Source organism: Homo sapiens, chromosome 13 (genome assembly GCF_000001405.40).
Source record: "Homo sapiens chromosome 13, GRCh38.p14 Primary Assembly".
NCBI classification, from domain to species: Eukaryota; Metazoa; Chordata; class Mammalia; order Primates; family Hominidae; genus Homo; species Homo sapiens.
Window position 1 is genome coordinate 100532987 of NC_000013.11, and position 19603 is coordinate 100552589.

The 19603-nt window shown below is 48.4% G+C and overlaps 1 protein-coding gene and 1 pseudogene across 4 annotated transcripts in view, besides 5 other annotated features; both read right to left on the reverse strand.

Annotated features, from left to right (window-relative positions):
- Positions 1–19603, reverse strand: part of GGACT (gamma-glutamylamine cyclotransferase) — a 58610-nt gene that overhangs the window by 2807 nt on the left and 36200 nt on the right. Inside the window, exons 1-2 of one of the 4 annotated variants that reach the window (XM_011521129.4) lie at positions 1930–7288; positions 577–788 (exon numbers count right to left, since the gene is read on the reverse strand). The exons of 2 other annotated variants lie outside the window; for them this stretch is intronic. The gene's annotated coding sequence lies outside the window, so the exon portion shown is untranslated. Of the gene's footprint in view, positions 1–576; positions 817–1929; positions 7289–19603 lie in introns of those variants that run through there. One more of the 4 variants, NM_033110.3, reaches the window with a different exon arrangement.
- On the reverse strand, positions 6846–7286 carry RPS26P47 (ribosomal protein S26 pseudogene 47; annotated as a pseudogene).
- Positions 9900–10079: an enhancer, noted in NCBI's record as "active region_7960". NCBI's record gives its function as "activates an Ori minimal core promoter by ATAC-STARR-seq in GM12878 lymphoblastoid cells {active_cell/tissue: GM12878}" and the evidence as "EXISTENCE:reporter gene assay evidence [ECO:0000049][PMID:35858748]".
- Positions 11510–12233: an enhancer, noted in NCBI's record as "H3K4me1 hESC enhancer chr13:101196750-101197473 (GRCh37/hg19 assembly coordinates)". NCBI's record gives its function as "activates a minimal SCP1, AML or CMV promoter by ChIP-STARR-seq in naive H9 embryonic stem cells {active_cell/tissue: H9 hESC(naive)}" and the evidence as "EXISTENCE:reporter gene assay evidence [ECO:0000049][PMID:30033119]".
- Positions 12234–12956: an enhancer, noted in NCBI's record as "H3K4me1 hESC enhancer chr13:101197474-101198196 (GRCh37/hg19 assembly coordinates)". NCBI's record gives its function as "activates a minimal SCP1, AML or CMV promoter by ChIP-STARR-seq in naive H9 embryonic stem cells {active_cell/tissue: H9 hESC(naive)}" and the evidence as "EXISTENCE:reporter gene assay evidence [ECO:0000049][PMID:30033119]".
- Positions 13705–14383: an enhancer, noted in NCBI's record as "H3K27ac-H3K4me1 hESC enhancer chr13:101198945-101199623 (GRCh37/hg19 assembly coordinates)". NCBI's record gives its function as "activates a minimal SCP1, AML or CMV promoter by ChIP-STARR-seq in naive H9 embryonic stem cells {active_cell/tissue: H9 hESC(naive)}" and the evidence as "EXISTENCE:reporter gene assay evidence [ECO:0000049][PMID:30033119]".
- Positions 14384–15061: an enhancer, noted in NCBI's record as "H3K27ac-H3K4me1 hESC enhancer chr13:101199624-101200301 (GRCh37/hg19 assembly coordinates)". NCBI's record gives its function as "activates a minimal SCP1, AML or CMV promoter by ChIP-STARR-seq in naive H9 embryonic stem cells {active_cell/tissue: H9 hESC(naive)}" and the evidence as "EXISTENCE:reporter gene assay evidence [ECO:0000049][PMID:30033119]".

The window sequence follows — 19603 nt, forward strand, 5'->3', positions numbered from 1 at the left end:
GGACCGTGCCCTCAGCCTCCCCACACCACCTGGATGGACTAATGTTCCTCAGCCCTGCAGGGGCAGCCCTGCCTCGCCTGCACAGGCCACCCTTCTCTGAGGAACACAGTCCTGACCTGCTGACTGCGCAGCCTCCCCGACTCCCTGAGGGCACCAGCCTTCCACCCTTCCCAACTCCTACCCCCATCGTAGCAGCTCAAGGCCAGAAGACGCCCTGTCCAGGCCCTAGTATGGCCCTCCCAGACACACCCTGTCCAGGTGAGCAACTACCCCTGCTCCTGAGCCCAGCACAGCCCATACCTTACTGTTCTCAGCCCTTGTGTGGTGGGCGCGGAGGTTGCGGAGGTTCCAGGCAAGGCCGCCACCCTCTAGAGCTGCTGATCTGGGAAAAGGCGCTCCTTGTATTAGGACAGTCTGTCAAACCTGTCCCAACAGCCTGCCCTGCTACCTGAGCCCTGCAGAACTGCCATTTTCTTGAGCAGTTTTCAGTGTTTCTTAAAGGACTTTGAAAATTGCCAATAACTATTAAAGAAAAATTAGAAATAACCCTAAAAATACATATAATTTTGTAACCACCTGCTATCCAGCTGCAGTGAGAACCCAGGTTTCAGCACTGAGTTCCACTCAGGTCCTGGCAGTCTGACGCAGCGGAGCTCAGCACCCACACCTTCTGGTGTTTCCCCTTCCAAGGTCTTAGAGGGCAGTGGTGCTTCACGGGACTCCCCGCAGCGATCTTGGCTCCAGCGTGAAGGTAAATATTTACCACTTGCCTGGGTCTGGGCCACAGACTGTTACATAAAGACAGAAGTGATTTGTGTGAAAGTGACTCAAACAAAAATGGAAATGAACATTAAAGGGGTGGGGGCCGCTCTCCCCGGCCCCTCGCTCCGCTGCCCTGTGTGCCCCCGCCATGAGGTGACAGCCTGTGGGGCGACTCGTTGAGATGGGCTTTGCAGACGGGACTGCAGGTGCAGGAAAACAAATGCGGCTATCCAGGAAACAGCAGCGGCTCGTGACCCGCCAGAAATGGCCCCGGACACCACACTTGCCACCAATCATGTGGACAAGTGGACCCTGAAGAAACTGAAGAAGTCACACTGAACTCATGGGACTTCTGTTTTCTTCTCAGCAAACAAGAGCTGCTCTGGGGGGTTCTAGGCCTCATTTTGCTCAAGAGGCACGTCTGCTGCCTCTTGGTTCTATCACCAGCCTGTGCAACAACAGTATTCCCCAGATTTCAGGCACATTGCACTAGGAAAGGTGTGGCCGTGGGAAAAACACAAGGCTAGCCAGATACGTGCGCCCTGTGGGCCTGGCCATGTGATAGCCCTGGGACACCCTTCCCAGTGTGGGGACACAGATTAGACCTGGGGGGCATGCTGGGATAGGAAAGTTGAGATGTGAATTAAGGAGAACCTGGGGTAGGACGGTACTGAGGAAGAGAAGAGGCAAGTGCTCAGGCCTAAAATTGCCAGGACTCGGCTGCTGGGGTGTACGTGAAAATGACAAAAGGCACCAGCTGAGAGCAGCGCTGGTGTCTGGAGAGGGCACTGGATGGAAGCAGCTGTCTACAACAGCGGGCAAGGAGCTATCCCAAAAGACGAGCACCTGGGGGGCGATGATGGTTTGGATCCTGCTGTGCAGCTGCCTTGGGGACTCAGCATTTGGAAGGATTCATGTCCCTCCCCACACCTGCATCCCAGCCCCCAGCGAGACCCATCAGCACTTCCCCTGCCACGTCTCCCAACCTGCTCTCCTCCTCCAATGCCTGCCTGCATCCCTGTTGTCTTTGTTCCCCTGGATCCTGCCCCCAGTGCACCACCCAGAGGGTCCTTGTCAATCTCCTGCTGCAGACTTAACTCTCCCACCTCATCTCCTGCACCCTCTCTCCCCTCATCCAGGTGGCTCCTGCCCCGACCAGCGCCTGACCTGGAGGGTGCAGGAGTAGTAGGCAGGGCCTACTCAGTCTGTCACATCACTCTGTCTGGTTGTCGTTATAGCACACGTGCTCTCTAAATCACTGGTCTTGTTTGTTGCTGGAACATGAAGGGCCAGAAGAGAACTTGGAAACTGTTTGGTCCAGCACCTGCAGGTGAGGAAGCCGAGTCCCAGGCTGGTGGCGATCTAGGACCAGCCAGCCGGGCAGGGCCGTAGTCACACTGCAGACCAGCTCTCCACTGCCAGGTGCCTGCCTGGCTTTCCCTGATGCAGTTTTTTAAAATGGCATGTGTCCAAAATGTCAATAGATTGCTTTGTAAGAAAAATGAAGTTTCCTACCCCTTTCCACTCCCTGGAGGCAACACTTTTAAGGCTTTTAACTGTTGTGTTCAGCATTTATCTCCATATTGTTACTTACGCTGCTACTTCTTGATGTCTTAAATCATATCTTGCCCTTCTACTCAAAAAGTGGGTGAGCATAGTGGTTCTAAAGCACAGACTTTAACTGTGTGACTTTAGGCAGATCATATAACCTCTCTGTGCCTCAGCTTCCTCAACTGTAAACTGAAGTCACAGTAGCAGCCTGCCTCAGAGACCGCGGTGGGTACCAACACACGTGGTCCTGTGTGATCTGCTGACATGTAGCGTGTGCCGCTGCTGTCATCACTGTAGAAGCCTGACCCTTGGCTCTCCTACCACATCCCGCCATCCTCCCAACAGACTCATCATAGTTTTGGGTCAGACCCAGATCTATTTCGGCATTAGAACCATGCAAACACGGCTCTTGGCTAAGACACAGAGCATACTATGATTACATTTCCTTTCTTGGACAACTTTATGTTTTCCTTGAAATTAAAAATTGCTTCAAGTTTGTTTTTTTTGTTTGTTTTGCATTTCGCTTAGTTTCTAGGATTGTAATTCAGCCTCGCAGTTTCTGAGAGCATGGCCAGAACCCGGGTCCTGACCATCCGCTGGAAGGTCCTCCCTGCCAGCTCTAGTCTGGGCTCTCTGTGTCGCTGCCATCCAGGCCACCCTCATTCCTGTCCCGTCCTCTGGCTGGGATGTTGGCCACATTTTGCTGAAGTGTATTCTCTCCCACTTTTGGTTAATAACATGGCTGCGTAGAGGATTCTAGAAATCATTTCCCTCAGAACTTTAAAGACATTTCTTCATTGTCTTCTAACTTTCCGAGTTCTTGCAGAGAAGTCAGTGTGCTGTGATCCAGGTCCCCTGTGTGTGTGACTCGAGCTCTTCCCTGGAGGCTCTTAAGGGCTTCCTTTTATCCCTCAGATTCTAGAATTTTCTGATGATGTAGACTCTGTTTTCATTGATTGTGCTGGAATTTTGATCTGAATGCTCCTTATCCTGGATCACGGGGGCATTTTCTTACCCCTCCTTCCTCTCTGTTCTCTTTCTGGCTCTCCCAATATTCCGGCAGTGGAGGTCCTGACTTCAGCCTCCAATGTTTTTATATTTTCTCCTTTCCTCCAGGTCTATATTATATTCTGCTTTATCTTGCATTTCTTCTATTAAAAATTTTTTTGCCATGATATTTATTTCCAATATATTTTTCTTGTTGTGTGTTTTTTTTTTCAACTTCTTGTTCATTCACAGGCTCAATATATATATATTTTTTAAGTTTTCTTCATTCCCTTCATTGCCTCCATTTCTCCTAACTCCCTCTTTTCTCTCTGTTTTGGTATCTGTGTTTCAAGAGATTTTCTTCACATGTGATCTTGGCTGGGAAAGCTGAGCCACTCTTTGGAAGTGAGGCTGAGCTGTCAGGTGGCAGGCCTCACACGGGACTCTGGGGAGCGGCGCTGGGAGCTCTGCACTTTCCCCCAATGCTTGTTTTCAGGGTGCCACCTCACCACCACTCAGCTAGGCCTGTGTCCCCAGCGGAGGTGTTCTTGTCAGGCTCTCCAGAAAGGAACCCGCCATCCTCTGCCAGGTGTGAGGGGAAGCAGTGGGGTCTCCCTGCACCTTGTGCACACTCCCAGCCTTTCCGTGTCTTGGCCTGTCCTTGCCTCTGTGGCCTGCGGTTCTGGACTCCTCCAGCGTTGCAGACACTGCTCAGCTGACTACTTGTCAGCCTCTCACTGTGCAGGAGCTTAAGTTTTGGGTGTCTCTAGGTTAAGTCTGCTGTCACTCACTTCTGTTTTCCGTCTTCCAGAAGCGTGTCGCCCGCTTTCCTCCACTGTCCTTGTGGGTCGTTTGAGTAGCATTAGGAGGAAGCTGGACACAGGGCCTGTCCTCCCTGTCTTCTCCCTTGCTGCACCGCCAGCCCTAGCCCCTTCCTCTGAGAGACTTGATGTGAGCCAGAAAGGAAGCGACAAGACAGAAACTGCTTGCTTAGAAGGATGGCAAGGAGGTTTTCTTCAGGTACAGGAGACTCAAGGGTATGTCAGGTCCCCGTGAAGAAGCCAGGAAAGTAGCAATTGTGGCACCAGAGTGAGGGCTGGGTAGAGGGGATGGCTGGTGATAGCTGAAGGAGCCAGGCAGCGGGGAGGCAGAGAAAGAACTTGCTCTTCCTGCTGCTGAGACGAGAGAAAGGAAAGACGAGGCAGCACTTGCAGGAAAAGGAAAGCCTAAATGCAGCCATGCAGGGAACAACGCAGCCATGCAGGGATGCCCTGTGCTAAGTGCTGGGCATGCAATGAGACTCCATGAAGCCACAGTGTCATTGAGGGGAGACAGAAGACACACTTGTCAAAGGGCGCCTCGCGGGAGACAGCTGCACAGCACAGGCACTCTCCCTCAGAAACCGCTCCTTCAGTAAGAGGTGGTGGCACCATCCACTCGGGCAGGGAGACTGCCGCCAGGCTGAGAACTTGCAAAATGGAAAGAAGTGAGAACAGTCCTATGGAAGCAGCACAGACTTTGGAACAGAGTTGTAAGATGCCAGGACAGAGCAGGTACTCAGCACGCAATGGTCATTGTTTTCACTATTCCGGGGATTCAACTGCAAAGGAAGAAAAATATTTCATCCAAGAGTGGACAAGCAGGCTTAGGACAGAGGTAAGAGGAGAAGAGAGTTGGAGGATAGTGTTTCTGAAGAAGGCTAATTCCCAGGGAGGACTTCTGGGACCTTGCTTACCGACGACCGAGGTTCACCTGGGTGTACTGGGCCCCGCACTAAGTAGCCTGTGTAATCTCAGTTTATTTAATGCTCTCAACTCTGTAAAGTAGGTGGTATTACCTTCATTTAACAGATGAAGAAACTAAGATGAGGGCTCTGGCCCGAAGCTGGTGAGAGGCAGCAGCAGGAACTGAGCCTGGGCCTGCTGGACTCCAAAAGCCTCTCTGGCTCTGTCACTTGCACTGACCCCAAGGCCCAAGGGAGGTGACCCTGTCAAGTATGGTGGAGGACTCAGGCTCTGCAATGGCAGAGATGGTTTGCAAAGCACCCTACACTTCCCTATGCTTTTTGTTCCCTACTTGTTTTAAATTTTATCTGATAAACCAAATCCTTCTCTGTATTTCCTGTTTTTTAATTTGTGGAGTTTTAAAAATTGTGATAAAATACACATAACATAAAATTTATCATAACTATTTTCAAGTGTTCAGTTCAGTAGTGTTAAGTATATTTGAGTTGTGAAAAAGGTCTCCAGAACCTTTTCATCTTGCAAAACTGAAACTTTGTACCCATTAAACAATAACCACGGAAAGCAAAACCACAGATAAGGAGGAATTCCTGTTCTATGCTATTTTGATTACAGTAACTTTATGATAAGTTTTGAAGTCAGGAAGTATGAGACCTCCAACATTGTTCTTTTCCAAGATCACATTGTCTATTTAAGGTCCTTTGATATTTCCATATACATTTTTGGATTGGGTTTTCCTCTTTCTGCATTAAAGGACTGCATTAATCTGTAGATCACTTTAGGAAATATTGACATCTGAACAATATTGTCTTCCAATCCATGAACATGGGATGTCTTTCCATTTATTTATGTCCTCTTTAATTGCTTTCAGCAATGTGTTGTACTTTTCAGTGTACACATCTTGCCTGCTTGGTTAAGTTTATTCCTAAGTATTTTATTCTTTTTGATGCTATCATAAATGGAATAGTTTGTCTTTTCAGATTGCTTATTGTTAGTGTATAAAAATGCAATAATTATTTGTGTGAATTTTGTCTCCTGCAACTTCACTGAATTTGCTTATTAGTTCTAAAAGTTTTAAGGTGAAATGTTTACATTTTCTATACAGGACCATATTGTTTACAAATAGAGTTAATTTTACTTCTTACCTCTGACTTGGATGCCTTTTAAATTTCTTTTTCTTGCCTGATTGCTCCAGCTAGGACTCCCAGAACTATGTTCAACAGAACTGATGAAAGCAGCATCCTTTTCTTGTTCCTGATCTCAGAAGAAAAGCTTTCATTCTGGCATCACTGAGTATCATGTTAGCTGTGGGCTTTTCATATACTGCCTTTATGATGTTGAGGTAATTTCCTTCTGTTCCTTTGTTGACTGTTTTTAAATCATGAAGTTGTGTTGAATCTTGTCAAATGCTTTTTCTGTATCAATTGAAGTGATTGTGTGTTTTTTCCTTCATTCTGTTAATGTAGTGTATTACATTGATTGATTTTCTTATATTGAAACATCCTTGCATTCCAGGAATAAATCCCACTTGGCCATTGCATATAATCCTTTTAATGTGTTGTTGAATTCTGTTTGCTAGTGTGTTGTTTAGGATTTTGGCATCGATCTTCATCAAGAATATTAGTCTGTAGTTTTCTTTCTTGGAGTGTCTTTGGCCTTAGTATCAGGGTGATGCTCAACACTGAAATGTTCCTTCTTCTTCATTCTTTAGAAGAGTTTCAGGAGGACTGGTGTGAATTCTGTAAATGTTTGGTAGAATTTACCAGTGAAGCCATCTGGTCCTGGGCTTTTTTTTTTTTTTTTTTAAGTACAATTTCCATTTTATTTTTCTCCAGAGAATAGCCTGTCTTCAGTCTTTAAGAACTCAGCTCCTTACATGGGCTTTGGTGGGGGACGTGGGGCAGCACCCGCAGGTCTAAATCGAGGTGGGGGTGTTCGGTCCTTGCGGGCTTCACGAGATCGATTCCTGACTACTTTGCTGTGAATTGCACAACTCACACAGTAATGTAGCTTCACATACAGCTTGGGAAGCACATAGGCATCGAAGACGCTCGCTTCAGAAATGTCCCTGACTGCTGCGGCCTCCACTATGTTTCGAATGACGAATTTCTTAATGGCGTTGTCCTTGGGCACGCATCGGGCACAGTTAGTGCAGCGAATAGGCTGCACGTGGCCGCGGCCCTTTTTGGCACGACCATTGTTCCTTCTTTTCTTTGTCATCTTGGAGGCACGGACCGGAGAGAGAGTGGGCTTTTCTTTTGGGGGAGATTTTTGACTGCTGCTTCAGTCTCTTTACTAGTTGTAGGTCTGTTCAGTCTCAGTAGGTTGTGTCTTTCTAGGAATTTGTCCATTTCATCTAGGTTAGACAATTTGTTGGCATAATTGTTCATAATATTCTCTTGGCCTTTTTATTTCTGCAAGATGTGTTGTTCTGTAGGACGTGATGTTTTCTCGTCCATTTCTGGTTTTAGTTATTTAGATCTTTTCTCTCTTTTTATTTAAGTTAAAGGTCTGTCAATTTTGTTAGTCTTCTCAAACAGCCAACTCTTGGTTTAACTGATTTTCTCTGTTGTTTAAAATTCTCTTTTTGTTTATCTCTGCTCTAATCATTACTGTTCCTTTCCTTCTGCTAGCTTTGGGTTTTGTTTGTTGTTTTTTGAGCTTCTTATCTCCTTGTACTCTTGTTCCTTGTCTCTCATGTTCAGCCCATCTCCAAGGGCTGCTGTGAGGATCACAACCAACAGGACACATGAAAAGTCTATAACACTGGCCAGATGCCTCTCAGAACCGCAGCAGAATGTGCCTGTGATTCATTCTGGCTGAGAAAATGTCGGGCTCCTCTTTGGGTGCACCAGGCCCCTGGGCCGGGCTGGGAGGGGTGACACTGCCACTGCAGAAGGGGATGCCACCTTCTGAGAGCCACATGTTACTGTGTCTTCAACCCTGCCCCCTCTCACCATGCTAGTTTTTTGTTTGTTTGTTTGTTTTTCCATGGCACAGGGTTAGAGTCAGGGTCTCAGATAAAATGTAAGGGCTTGGTTTAATGAGTAATGGTAAGAAACGGCTGTAGGCAAGCCATCTGAGTTTTTCCAGATTAAAACAAGTATTTCTCTTGGTCTCTACCTTAATGTGAAGTAATTGCCCCCAAGTCAGCCCTGCTGCATCAGACACAGTGTGAGCCCAGCCCTTGCAGGGCCAGCATCAGGAAAGGCAACCTCAGAATTCTGTAGATGGGCATTTAGGGACAGAGTGCAGGGCAAGTATCAAACAATCCACTGTGCCATAACAGGCCTGACTTGAGTTCCTGCCTCCATCCCTGAGCACCTGTGGGACTTTGGGCAAGTGATTTCAAGTTCTTGAGCTTCCATTTCCTCCTATTTACCCCAAAGAGTTACCCTCCACTGACTGCCGACTGTGCAGGCATGAGCACCTGATGAATGTGAATTCCCTCTTCCCCTTGGCCCTTCCTTATCCCTGCTCCCTCCTCAGGTCTCCACTTAACTCCATCCTTTATCAACATCTTCTAGAAATATCTACTAGCTATAGTCTTCTCAAAAATAAAAATGAACACATTATAAGTGGGAGAGGGCATCAGGCATATCGAGTAGTGGTTGTGGCCTTAATGATTTTCCAAAACCAAGAAAAATGCTTGGGAGGGTGATATTACGTAGAAATGAAGGTGATTAGGCCACAGAAGGTTAATTCCAACTCTGGAAAATCAGTTCAGTAATTGTCTTCTGCAGAAGATGATAGCTTATTTCTGTAAAATAAAACCAGGCAATAAAAGTTAACCTTCATTTCTAGGAAATAATCCAGCCTGCTAGAATGACCAACTAAAATTTTCTACATTTTATGTATTGAGTTCAATAGCATCCTTCATAACATAAAGTTAGTTTGAGAACACTACTTATGCAATAGAAAAGAAAATAGCCTGCATTTCTGGCTTCTGTCATAAGAAAAACTTCATTACCTTTCTGATTGTGTTTTGAACAACACACACAGATCCTAACAGGAAGAAACTTGTCCCCATGGGGACTGAGCCAGGATCAGAGTTAAGCACTGAAACAAGCAATTAATTCCCCTTAGAGGATTAAGGCACTCAGGTTCACTTTGAATCAGAAAAGCGAATCAAGAATAAAATGGTGTACAACCAAGAGGCTGCCAGTCCAACTTACTAAGTTAGAGAACTGAAGAGCAACCCCGGGTGCACAGGAGAAGCAGAGCAGCCGCTGACCCCCCCAGCAAGAAGACGGGTAGGGTTTGTTTCATGGGACAAGATCGTCCTTCATGACGCTGTGGAAACGTTGGGGAGAGCACGGTTTGTGCCCTAGGACGCTGGCCTTACTCTTAACAGATCCAGTCCACGAAAGTAAATCTAAAAAGCGTGTTCCAGCCTGCCACGCTGTCATCCCTCGTGCACGGATTTCCTCATAGCATCTTACTGTTAATACACAGAATCAAAGAATGACATGCATGAGACCTTAACATCAGTTTGGAGAATTTTACTTTGGGTTCCTAGAGCCAATTCTGAGGGCACTGAACATCTCTGCAGATGTCGTTCCCTGATGCTGATGTGTTAAGGATAAGGGCGGCCTGCTGCTGTGGTCAGGATTCAGGCATCCTCCACTCTGGAAATCCAAGAGGCCAAAGCTGAACCTCTGTCCCAAAGCTAACTGGTCCGGACAATAGCGGCATCCAGGGGACAGCATGGAGGTGGAACAGGCTCAGAGAGTCTCCAAAAGCTTTAGATCAGCAAAATCTGGTTTCCCATTGCCAATATTTGAGAAAATAAGAAGACTCATGAGCTGTCCATCTGGTCGGGCGCTGCCTGAAATGCCTGTCACTTATTCAGCAGTTCTCCTTCTTGAAACGCAGTCCGTCTATAGTTTCATATTTCACCACTGAAGCAGAACTTGAAAGTGATTACGAGTCCTTTGCATAACTGTTAGATTTTTTTCTTGATTTCTTTTTTCTTAGCCACCTGGTGGCAAGAGTGTAAAAGGCAGGATTTAAGAGTTTATGATGATAGTTTACAAATCACAACCACTTCATATGCCTGGTACACGTTTAAAAGCATGCATACGCAGACCAGGTGAACCGAACAAGGAAAGGGCTAGTGTTTAACTCTTCTTAAACTAATTTACAAAAGGATTTTAAAAAGACACCAGCTTTTTTTTTTTTTTTTTTTTTTTTTTTTGAGACGGAGTGTCGCTCTGTCACCCAGGCTGGAGTGCAGTGGCGCGATCTCGGCTCACTGCAACCTCCGCCTCCCAGGTTCAAGCAGTTCTCCTGCCTCAGCCTCCTGAGTAGCTGGGACTATAGGTGCCCACCACCACGCCTGGCTAATTTTTGTATTTTTAGTAGAGATGGGGTTTCACCATATTGGCCAGGCTGGTCTCAAACTCTTGACCTTGTGATCCGCCCACCTCGGCCTCCCAAAGTGCTAGATTGCAGGCATGAGCCAGCACGCCTGGCCAACACCAGCTTCTAACATAAAAACCACCTTTATAAATGGTGCCTCAAGAAAATATTCATCTTTATATGAAAATTTCATGACAGGAGGAAATGTTAGTAAAATCTGTATGTCATCATGTCAAAGCATCTGTTTTCTCCACATGATATATCAAGCCAGTAACAATGCATACTGCCAGTTGGCAAGTTAAGACTTTGTTAGAAAAAAGTAAAATGATTTAGACTTGGGTAGCATGAAGCTCAGGCCCCTGCCAGAGGGGCTCTGCCACTGGCCAGGGAGAAATAGTATCAGAATCATAAACTCCTGGTCCAGAAGGTGGCATGGCAAAGAGCTTATCTCTATCTTTACATTTGCTGCATTAATTTGCTTTTGTCATTCAATACCTCGTGTCAAAATTGGCCCCAGCAGATCCTGGGCCCACCAGACTCACGAAGGGCATGGTGATCACGGCTGTACACTGGTTTCAAGGACACCAACTGCTGCTCTAGTCCTTCTGTGACCACCAGCAGCCCCACACTGTGCCAGCCCTGAGCAAACGCAGCCATTCTACATGGTGGAGATGGAGTAAGAGTCACATGCGATGTTGTGCACGTTTCCCCTAGAGAGGGTTTTTCTTACTTTATGGAAACCTTCTTGTGTCTCATCAAGTAGCCACTTCCCCTCCCTCCCCCACTGTAACATTATTTTCCCTGGAGAAAACGCCGAGTGTCTGATATAGTTACACATTAATTCTTCAGAAGTTTCTTAGAACTGTAGGAAACAGGTGAAAAAACAAAATGCCTTGAACTTTCAACCTGTGCCTGGCCTGTGTGCGCGAGGCGGGCCCTAAGGTCACTCTTCCCCGCGCGGCTCGGGGCAACGTGCCAGGGAGGGCTCGGGCCGCATCCTGTTGGCTCTTTGATGCTTTCGTTTTGTCGCTTGCTAGTTTCTTTACAGCAAAGGCAAGGGCTTCCTGCTAAGGCAGACCCCTCACCAGCCCCACTGCATACCCCGGAAAAGTCCCTGGCAAAACACCTTTCTTCCATTATCTGCACCGGCCCCGGTAAAACGCTGGCGCCTTTGAAATCAGAGGCCAGGGTCTCCTCTTCACAGTTCGCTCAAGACACTGAACACTTACGGGTCTGTGAAATCAAACGGACACTTGGTCCCTGATGCCACCCCAGGCCTCCTGAATGCTCCTCAGCAACCATCCCTTGAGTTTTTACTCTTTGGCCATGCCAAATATAAATAACGATTTTTTTCATGCCATATCACTTTAAAGGCAATTGTGTTGCCACCTTTAAAATGTTCAGTGACCAACAACGCAGACATGACCATCCCCTGCATCCCCATGTCTGCTTCAAGTATGGAAAGGAATCACTGGAAAATCCCAAGATGCCAGGCCAGGGAACGAGCTCTATGCAAACAGGCAGGATGGAGAACCGGCCAGGGCCATGGCCCCAAATTCCAGGCACGGCAGCAGGAGCGGAGGTGCTGCCAGCCCCTGCTGCCTCCTGGTGTGACACTCAGAAGGCGCAGCGGAGGCGGCAGCAGGAGGCAGAGCCAGGAACACATGCTGGGCAGGCGGCCAGCGGCCCAACACTGGAGATGCCGTCAACCTCGTCACACAGGGCCAACCTGCAGGCACGGCCTCAGGAACCTGGCTCCACTTGCCGGACCTACCTGTGGCTCACGGGGGATCAACGCCACCCCCAAGGGAGAGCCCTGACTCCATGCCCACCCCATGCCAAGTGCTTTACTTACATTCTTCACCTGGTGCTCCAAACCACATGGTGAGGCCGCTTCACTCCCAGCTTCTCCCCCCTTTTGCAGATGGGGAAGCTGGGGCAGAGGTGAAGTGACTCACACACAAGGCGACCCAGGCAAGGGCAGCAGAGCCTTCACGTCCCTTCCTGACCTCCTTCCTGACCTCCACGTCCCAGGGCCCCTGGAGGAGGGCACCCCCTCACTGCCCCCAAGCACTCCAGGGCCCCAGGCAGCCAGTGGCCTGGGCTGCCCTCATACCAGGCTCCAGTCACATCTGCCGTGGCCTCCTGAATCTAGAAGGTGCCCTCAGGGTTTATTAAGCACACCCTGGGCTGCCTGCCTGCCTGGCATGTGCCATGGAACTGGCACTCAGAAGCTGCCACTATCCTGAAATTCCCGATTTTGTCTTTGTATTTTGTAAGCAAAGCGAAGCCTGCTGGAATAACACAGCACTCCTGTGAGTGGAGAGCCCAGGAGTGTGGGATCGTGGTAGACCCAGGGTGTGGGGCTTTCTGGCATTAGGGTGAAGCTTGGGTGAGCTGCTGCACTTCCCATTGCAAGCAGAACCTGTTCCCCCTACAGAAGGAAGTAAGGGTTCGGAGAATTCAGACACCAAAGGCCCCATCATGTCCCTTCCTACACATGCGTCAGCCAACCACATACTCGGAAAATGACACAGAAAGCCAGGGCAACCTGCTGGGCCACCCAGAGTGCCTTTCCCCCTCTTTTCCTCCATCATCAGTAGGTGAAGGCAGACAGTGTTGATAGAATATGTGCACCTCAAGAGGTGAAAAACAGCTCAGTTAACTTTCTGATAAGAATGAAATAGATGGCCGGGCACAGTGGCTCACGCCTGTAATGCCAGCACTTTGGGAGGCCGAGGCGGGTGGATCACGAGGACAGGAGATCGAGACTATCCTAGCTAACATGGTGAAACCGCATCTCTACTAAAAATACAAAAAAAATTAGCCGGGCATGGTGGCGGGCGCCTATAGTCCCAGCTACTCGGGAGGCTGAGGCAGGGGAATGGCGTGAACCCGGTAGGCGGAGCTTGCAGTAAGCCGAGATGGCGCCACTGCACTCCAGCCTGGGCGACAGGGCAAGACTCTGTCTCAAAAAAAAAAAAAAAAAAAAAAAGAAATACGCATGTGTAAGTTATGAAAACTGTCATTTCTGTGATTCCACGAGTTAAATGCACTGAAACTTAAAACTGATATTGTACAACATAAACATAAAGATGAATGAAAAACTCCATGCTGAGAATTTTGTAATAAGGAAATAGACTGGGTGCGGTGGCTCATGCCTGTAATCCCAGCATTTTGGGAGGCTGAGGTGGGGGGATCGCTTGAGCCCAGGAAGTCAAGGCCACAATAAGCCATGATCTCACCACTGCAGCATGGGCCTCAGAGTGAGACCCTGTCTCTGAATAAATAATAACAAATATGGAATATGTAATAAAATAATGTTTAGTTTTTAACAACTAAAACCCTCCATGCCAAGTTGCGAGGCTGAGCTGCGAGTCAGCAGAGGAAAGGGCTGCCGCCTCTTCTAGGTCTCTCGACTGCACCTTTTCTTGCTTTTCGAGCAAGGGAGTCGCATGGCCCATCCTCATGCCTCTAAACCACAGCTCCTCGAGGGCGAGGTCTCGCCTTCTCTTCCTTTCACCCCCCTACGTCATCTGGCACGGCCCGGCGCATGCAGTAGGCACTTCATAAATACTGCAGGAAGCCAAGGGGCCATCCCACTCAGCCCAGATTCCCAAAGAGGCACGATGGGCCTTCAGGCTGTTGGGAATCCTTCAAGTTCTCCTTGTCTCTCAAACCCTACAGGTTCAAACATAGCCCTGGGGGCACATTCATAGGCCCTGGATTCAGTGCCGGCTCTGCCACCTCTTCCTTCCCACAAGACAACCAGGTCTCCAGACCCTCAGACCAGGCCCGGGAGCAGGGCAGAAGCAGGACGTGCAGAGTAGCCAGGCGGGATGTAATCAGCCCCCATCACAGCCACTGACAATGAACCTGCAAAACTCACCTCCCGGGACAGCACCCAGACCAGAGGGGGTGGGGTACTTGCTGCCGCAGACACAGGGCCCTCTGGGGAGATGGAAATGCTCCTTATACTGATTGGGCAGCGGTTCCATGGGGGATACATTTGTCAAAATCATTGACCTATCTGTGCACTTAATCTGTGGATTTTGTTGTATGTAAATTATACCTCAAAAAAGGTAATCTAAAAACAAGACTGAATGAGCTCACGGGAGGCAGGCAGGCCCCGCGCAGGCCTGGTCTGCGCTTACTGTCACTCGTGTGCGTTCTTGTCGGAGCTCAGCAGGCTTCATAGCCCCGAATCAGAAGCTGAAGCTCCTCATCTTTTCTTTAGGGTTTCCACAAGTACCCAAGTCTGTCCAAAGCATTTCTACAGATTTGTGCTGGCTTCCCTTACACTCACTTGCTTTCTGGAGACATTCAATAAAACAGGACAAGAACGAGACATCTCTTGGCAGCAGGGTCAAGGTCGAGCAGGCCCAGAGGCATGAGATGGCCGTAATCCCTGCAGGCCTGGGCACTGGGGTGGAGACCAGGGCCTTCTCTGCCCACCCAGGCCCCATGCACACCAGCTGTTGACTAAGCAGTGAGTTCCCACGAAGAAACACAGCAAACGGTTTGCCTTTTAGAGTATTTTTCCAGGCCTGCTGGAAGACGGTGCAGCAATCACACGCTGGCAGTTGCTCAAAATATGTTTATTCTGCCTGGGGCAGCAAAACCCCGGGCAGCCGGGAAAAGCCAAGAATCTGTGGCTTGTCCCAGCCCGCTCTCCACTTGTTAAATAGGACACCCAGGTCTGGCTGATGGCAGGCAACTTCTCGTCTACCTTGTGTGCTCCCAAAGGTCTGGATTGTTTCAACTCCGGCAGAAGGCAAGGGAGGCCTGGGAATGCCACCTGTGCCTTTCTGCTGTTCATTTTTCTAGAGCATGGCTGCTTTTCATTTGGAACCTTTGGGCTAGAAATACTTTGAGTTTGAAACAGGAATAAAATATATATTAGTGTTTTGTTTTTTAGAAACATCTTAAGGTTGTATTGATGAACATAGTTTTATATTACTGTTTTGCCTTCTTAAGTGAGAAATAGAGAATCCAACTTTAAGTTAGAAGAAGCACAAAACAATTACAAAATATCACAGTCATTCTCTTCTCTAGGTGGTTTGCTGACAGAATATTCTAGAAGGATGAGAATATGTAAGAATAGGAAGTTAAACCTACTTAAAAGTGAAGAAATACAAATTAAAGATACAGGTGAGGCCCCTGGCGAGGCTTGGGCCAGCGCGCCCTGTATTTAGCAGCTTAGCCATCTGGTTGCTTTGGGAGGATCAAGTCCCCTGGAGAGGGACTGCACACAGTGGGTACAAAAATAGTGAGATCCCCATAAACAGGAACAATTATCTTGTGCCCTTAAAGTTTAAAATTAAAAAAATGTAAGAACCGAGAGCTGATAAACAGAGGTCAAAGCCACACTCCTGTCAAACATCTGGGAAGAGGCCTTCCTGGCCCAGGCCAAGCAAGGCAAAGCCACAACAGGGTGGGATAGACTGCAGGCACATCCAGGGGACACAGGGTCCACAGGAGAGCCAACCAGGGAGGCCACCACCCAACATTGTGGAGCAGAATAAATGCATCAGCATGAATTAGTCAAAGTATTTCAGAGAATACTTTCAAAGATAACCACCAAATACAACTGCAAGATGTCAAATTTAAAATCCCTAGGAATGCCACCTCCACTACGCGTGGAGGCTGAGCGCAGCTTAGAAACCACCACCCATGGACCAGGAGCAAGGGCTCGCGGCTGTAATCCTAGCACTTTGGCAGGCTGAGGCGGGTGGTTCACCTGAGGTCAGGAGTTCGAGACCAGCCAAACATGGTGAAGCCCTGTCTCTACTAAAAACAAAATTAGCCAGATGTGGTGGGTGCCTGTAATCCTAGCTACACCAGGAGGCTGAGGCAGGAAGATCACTTGAACCTGGGAGGCGGAGGTTGCAGTGAGCCGAGATTGTGCCATTGCACTCCAGCCTGGGCAACGAGTGAAACTCCGTCTCAATAAATAAATAAATCAACAGCCACCCATGTGGCCCTACCTGCTCGTCTGTCCACTTCAAACCAGCACAGCGCCATTCTAATCCAGGGCTCGCTGCTGGTTGGCACTGCCAGGCAGGGCCCTATATCCCACTGCCCAGAAACATGAAATCAGGAGCTAAAAGGAACCCAACTGGCCATTGAAAACTGGGCAACAAGTTGTATCATAGCTAGCTGGTCTCTTGTGCCAGCGGCAGGGAGCTGGGTCAGGGCCCAGCCAGACTCCGCCTCCAGTGGGCTCTGTAAGGCAGGACTCGTTTTGGTAGTAATAACAGGTTTGCCTTCAGCATCACCTTTCGCTAAGAATATTATTAAAACCAGTTTAAACCCTCCAAAAAGATGCTAACTACCTGGAGATCATATAGCCAGAGGTGGCAGATAAAAGAAAGGAAAGCAACTCTAGAAAAGTCCATTGCTTACGTCAGTGCACCCAAGGAGATGAGACCTCATCCCCAACACACATGAGCACATACACACAATGCCATTTTCACACATTTGAAAAAAATAAACATTTTTAAAGATAAAAGCATAGAATTCAAAATTAAGCCTGATTAAGTTTTTTTGTATAAATTATCTTGTTCCCAAAGCATTCAAATCCTTTCAGTGCTTGTATAATTACCCCAAGTTAAATTCAATTAAAATGGCTGAGAGCGAAGTTAAGACTCAACTACAAGGAAGAAGGGAGCGGGGAAGGCAATTCGGCATGTGTCCCTGAGCGAGCTTCTACAGCCCCTGCACAGAGTGGGTCCATCTGCCACATTCCTGTGAGTCCTGAACGTGAACGCACGGCCGGCCACTGTGTGCTGGCCGGACAGCCTGAATTCTGAGGCCAAAACTTCCAGAAAAAGGCATTGAGCTGGAGGGACTGGCCCTTCTAAGGAAACTGGATGCGCTGAATGAATTAAATCCGAGCCGATTATACTCTACACACACACACACACACACACACACACACACACACACACACACACACACACACACCACTGGCCCTTCTAAGGAAACTGGATGCGCTGAATGAATTAAATCCGAGCCGATTATACTCTACACACACACACACACACACACACACACACACACACACACACCACTTTTAAAAGCACCATTATAGCCAGAAACCGCCGACAAAAGCCAGGCCAGGCTGCAGCCAAACACGCCAGTGTTTGGGTTTACAACTCCTTGGCCTCCCCAGTGTTGGGGGTGGAACCCAGGACCCTAGACATTATTTAAAAGCACATTTGGGTATATACTTGGCTTTTGAAAAAGCACTTAAAGGCCCACGCACAGGCCACTCCCGAGACAGTGGAATGCCCCGAGAGAACGTGCAAAGCCCCAGCTGTTGCTGTGTGGTTATTAGGGAGAGAGGCGGCTCCTCCCACTGAGGCGCTTTCTCCAATCCACTCGCTTCAGAAACAGCAGAACAGCCGCTTTGTTTTTCATTATGGAGTTGTTGTTTTTTCTCCCCAAATTTACAGTGTTCTTTCAGTCATGAAGTTAAAATCATGTTTACTCAGCCATTTTCTGAATTGAACAGCTCACACATGTGAGGCATTTAACTTTTTTGGGAGGAGTATATAAAAGTTTTATCATTTCTCTCATCCAAAACTACTTTCTTAATTAAAAAACAACAAGGCCGGGCGCGGTGGCTCATGCCTGTAATTCCAGCACTTTGGGAGGCCGAGGCGGGTGGATCATGAGATCAGGAGATTGAGATCATCCTGGCTAACATAGTGAAACCCCATCTCTACTAAAAGTACAAAAAATTAGCCGGGTGTGGTGGCGGGCGCCTGTGGTCCCAGCTACTCGGGAGGCTGAGGCAGGAGAATGGCATGAATCCGGGAGGTGGAGCTTGCAGTGAGCCGAGATCACGCCACTGCACTCCAGCCTGGGCGACAGAGCGAGACTCTGTCTCAAAAAAAAAACAAAAACCCATAATGTATATATACACAGACAGGATAAAACCAAGGATGTTCTCCTCTCTGCCCCTAAGCTGTCCAAGCCAAGAAAACCTTTTCCCCAGGGAGGGACCAGCGCCCGTGGCAAGGTGAGGAGGCCACTAGCCTCTTCCCACCTGCCAGAACTGGTATTAACAGACTTCCCCTCGGCTCCCAGGAACTTCCCAGAAAAGAAGGAAAAAGGGATTTCTCCTGGGGGCCATGCTTCAGTAACCACAAAATAGCTAAGGGGTAGCTAAACTCCTAGTTGAAGCACCTTAAAAGTGTTCAACCCTTTATTGGCCCTTTGAGTGGGTCCCCTAAAATCCAGGACCCCCAGGCTGTGCTGTCCAGGGGGCACCTGTGCCCAGGCAGAGAAGGGCTGAGGAACGGGGCACAGCTGCCCAAAGAAGGTGCTCCCATCCCTTCGATGTACAGGGTTTTTCTTTAAAATTCATGCAAATTTGGCGTTGTTTTAATATAACAATGATTATACTTATTTTCAGGTTAAGGAATTTCTCTCCCTTCCCTTTGCCCCCATCTAAAGGCAATTCCCTAGGGAGCAGGTCTCTGTCTCTCAGAGGGGGCAAGACCAGTACAAAGAGGTAGGCTATACCTCCTCCCCTGGCCTAGCACCCCAGAAGGAAAGGAGGTGCTGCCTGGCTGGGGTAGCTCCCTGTGGGCACACTCCCTCCAGACCATGCTGGCTCTACAGCCACCCGCACCTGAGGGGCCCTTGACCCTTCTCCCAGCCATGTGCAGGGCAAGCTTTGAGTGTGGTCCAGGCCAGATCTCTCAGGAAGGCAAAGCCTGGTGGAAACTTGCCCTGTGAATTTCTAATTTCCCCAGGAGAGAAGAAGAAAATTCAATGGATGGGGGCTGTCAGGGGCTCTCCAGGAACTGATTTTGTTCTCTCCTGGGGAAATGAGGAATTCACAAACTGGGCCTCCAACAGCCCCGTGACGAGGCAGGTGTTACTGTCCCATCCCACACATGGGAAACTGAGGCTCAGAAGAGTTATTTAACTGACACAGCAAAGCTGTTATGGGCTGGATTTAAGCCAGGGATTGATCCAAAATCTACACGCCACCCCCCAACATACTCTGTGGTCAACTAGGAGAAACAGACGGGGAAGTTCTCTGTTGAAGAAGAGACTGAAGCTCTAGCTGGTTCTCCCAGCAAACACAACCATTCTGAGATGTCAAGACGGTGACCTGTCGTGAGCCTTGTTATCAATCCCCACCTATTGTTCCTGTGCAAGGGGCTGTGCTTTGAGTCCTTTTC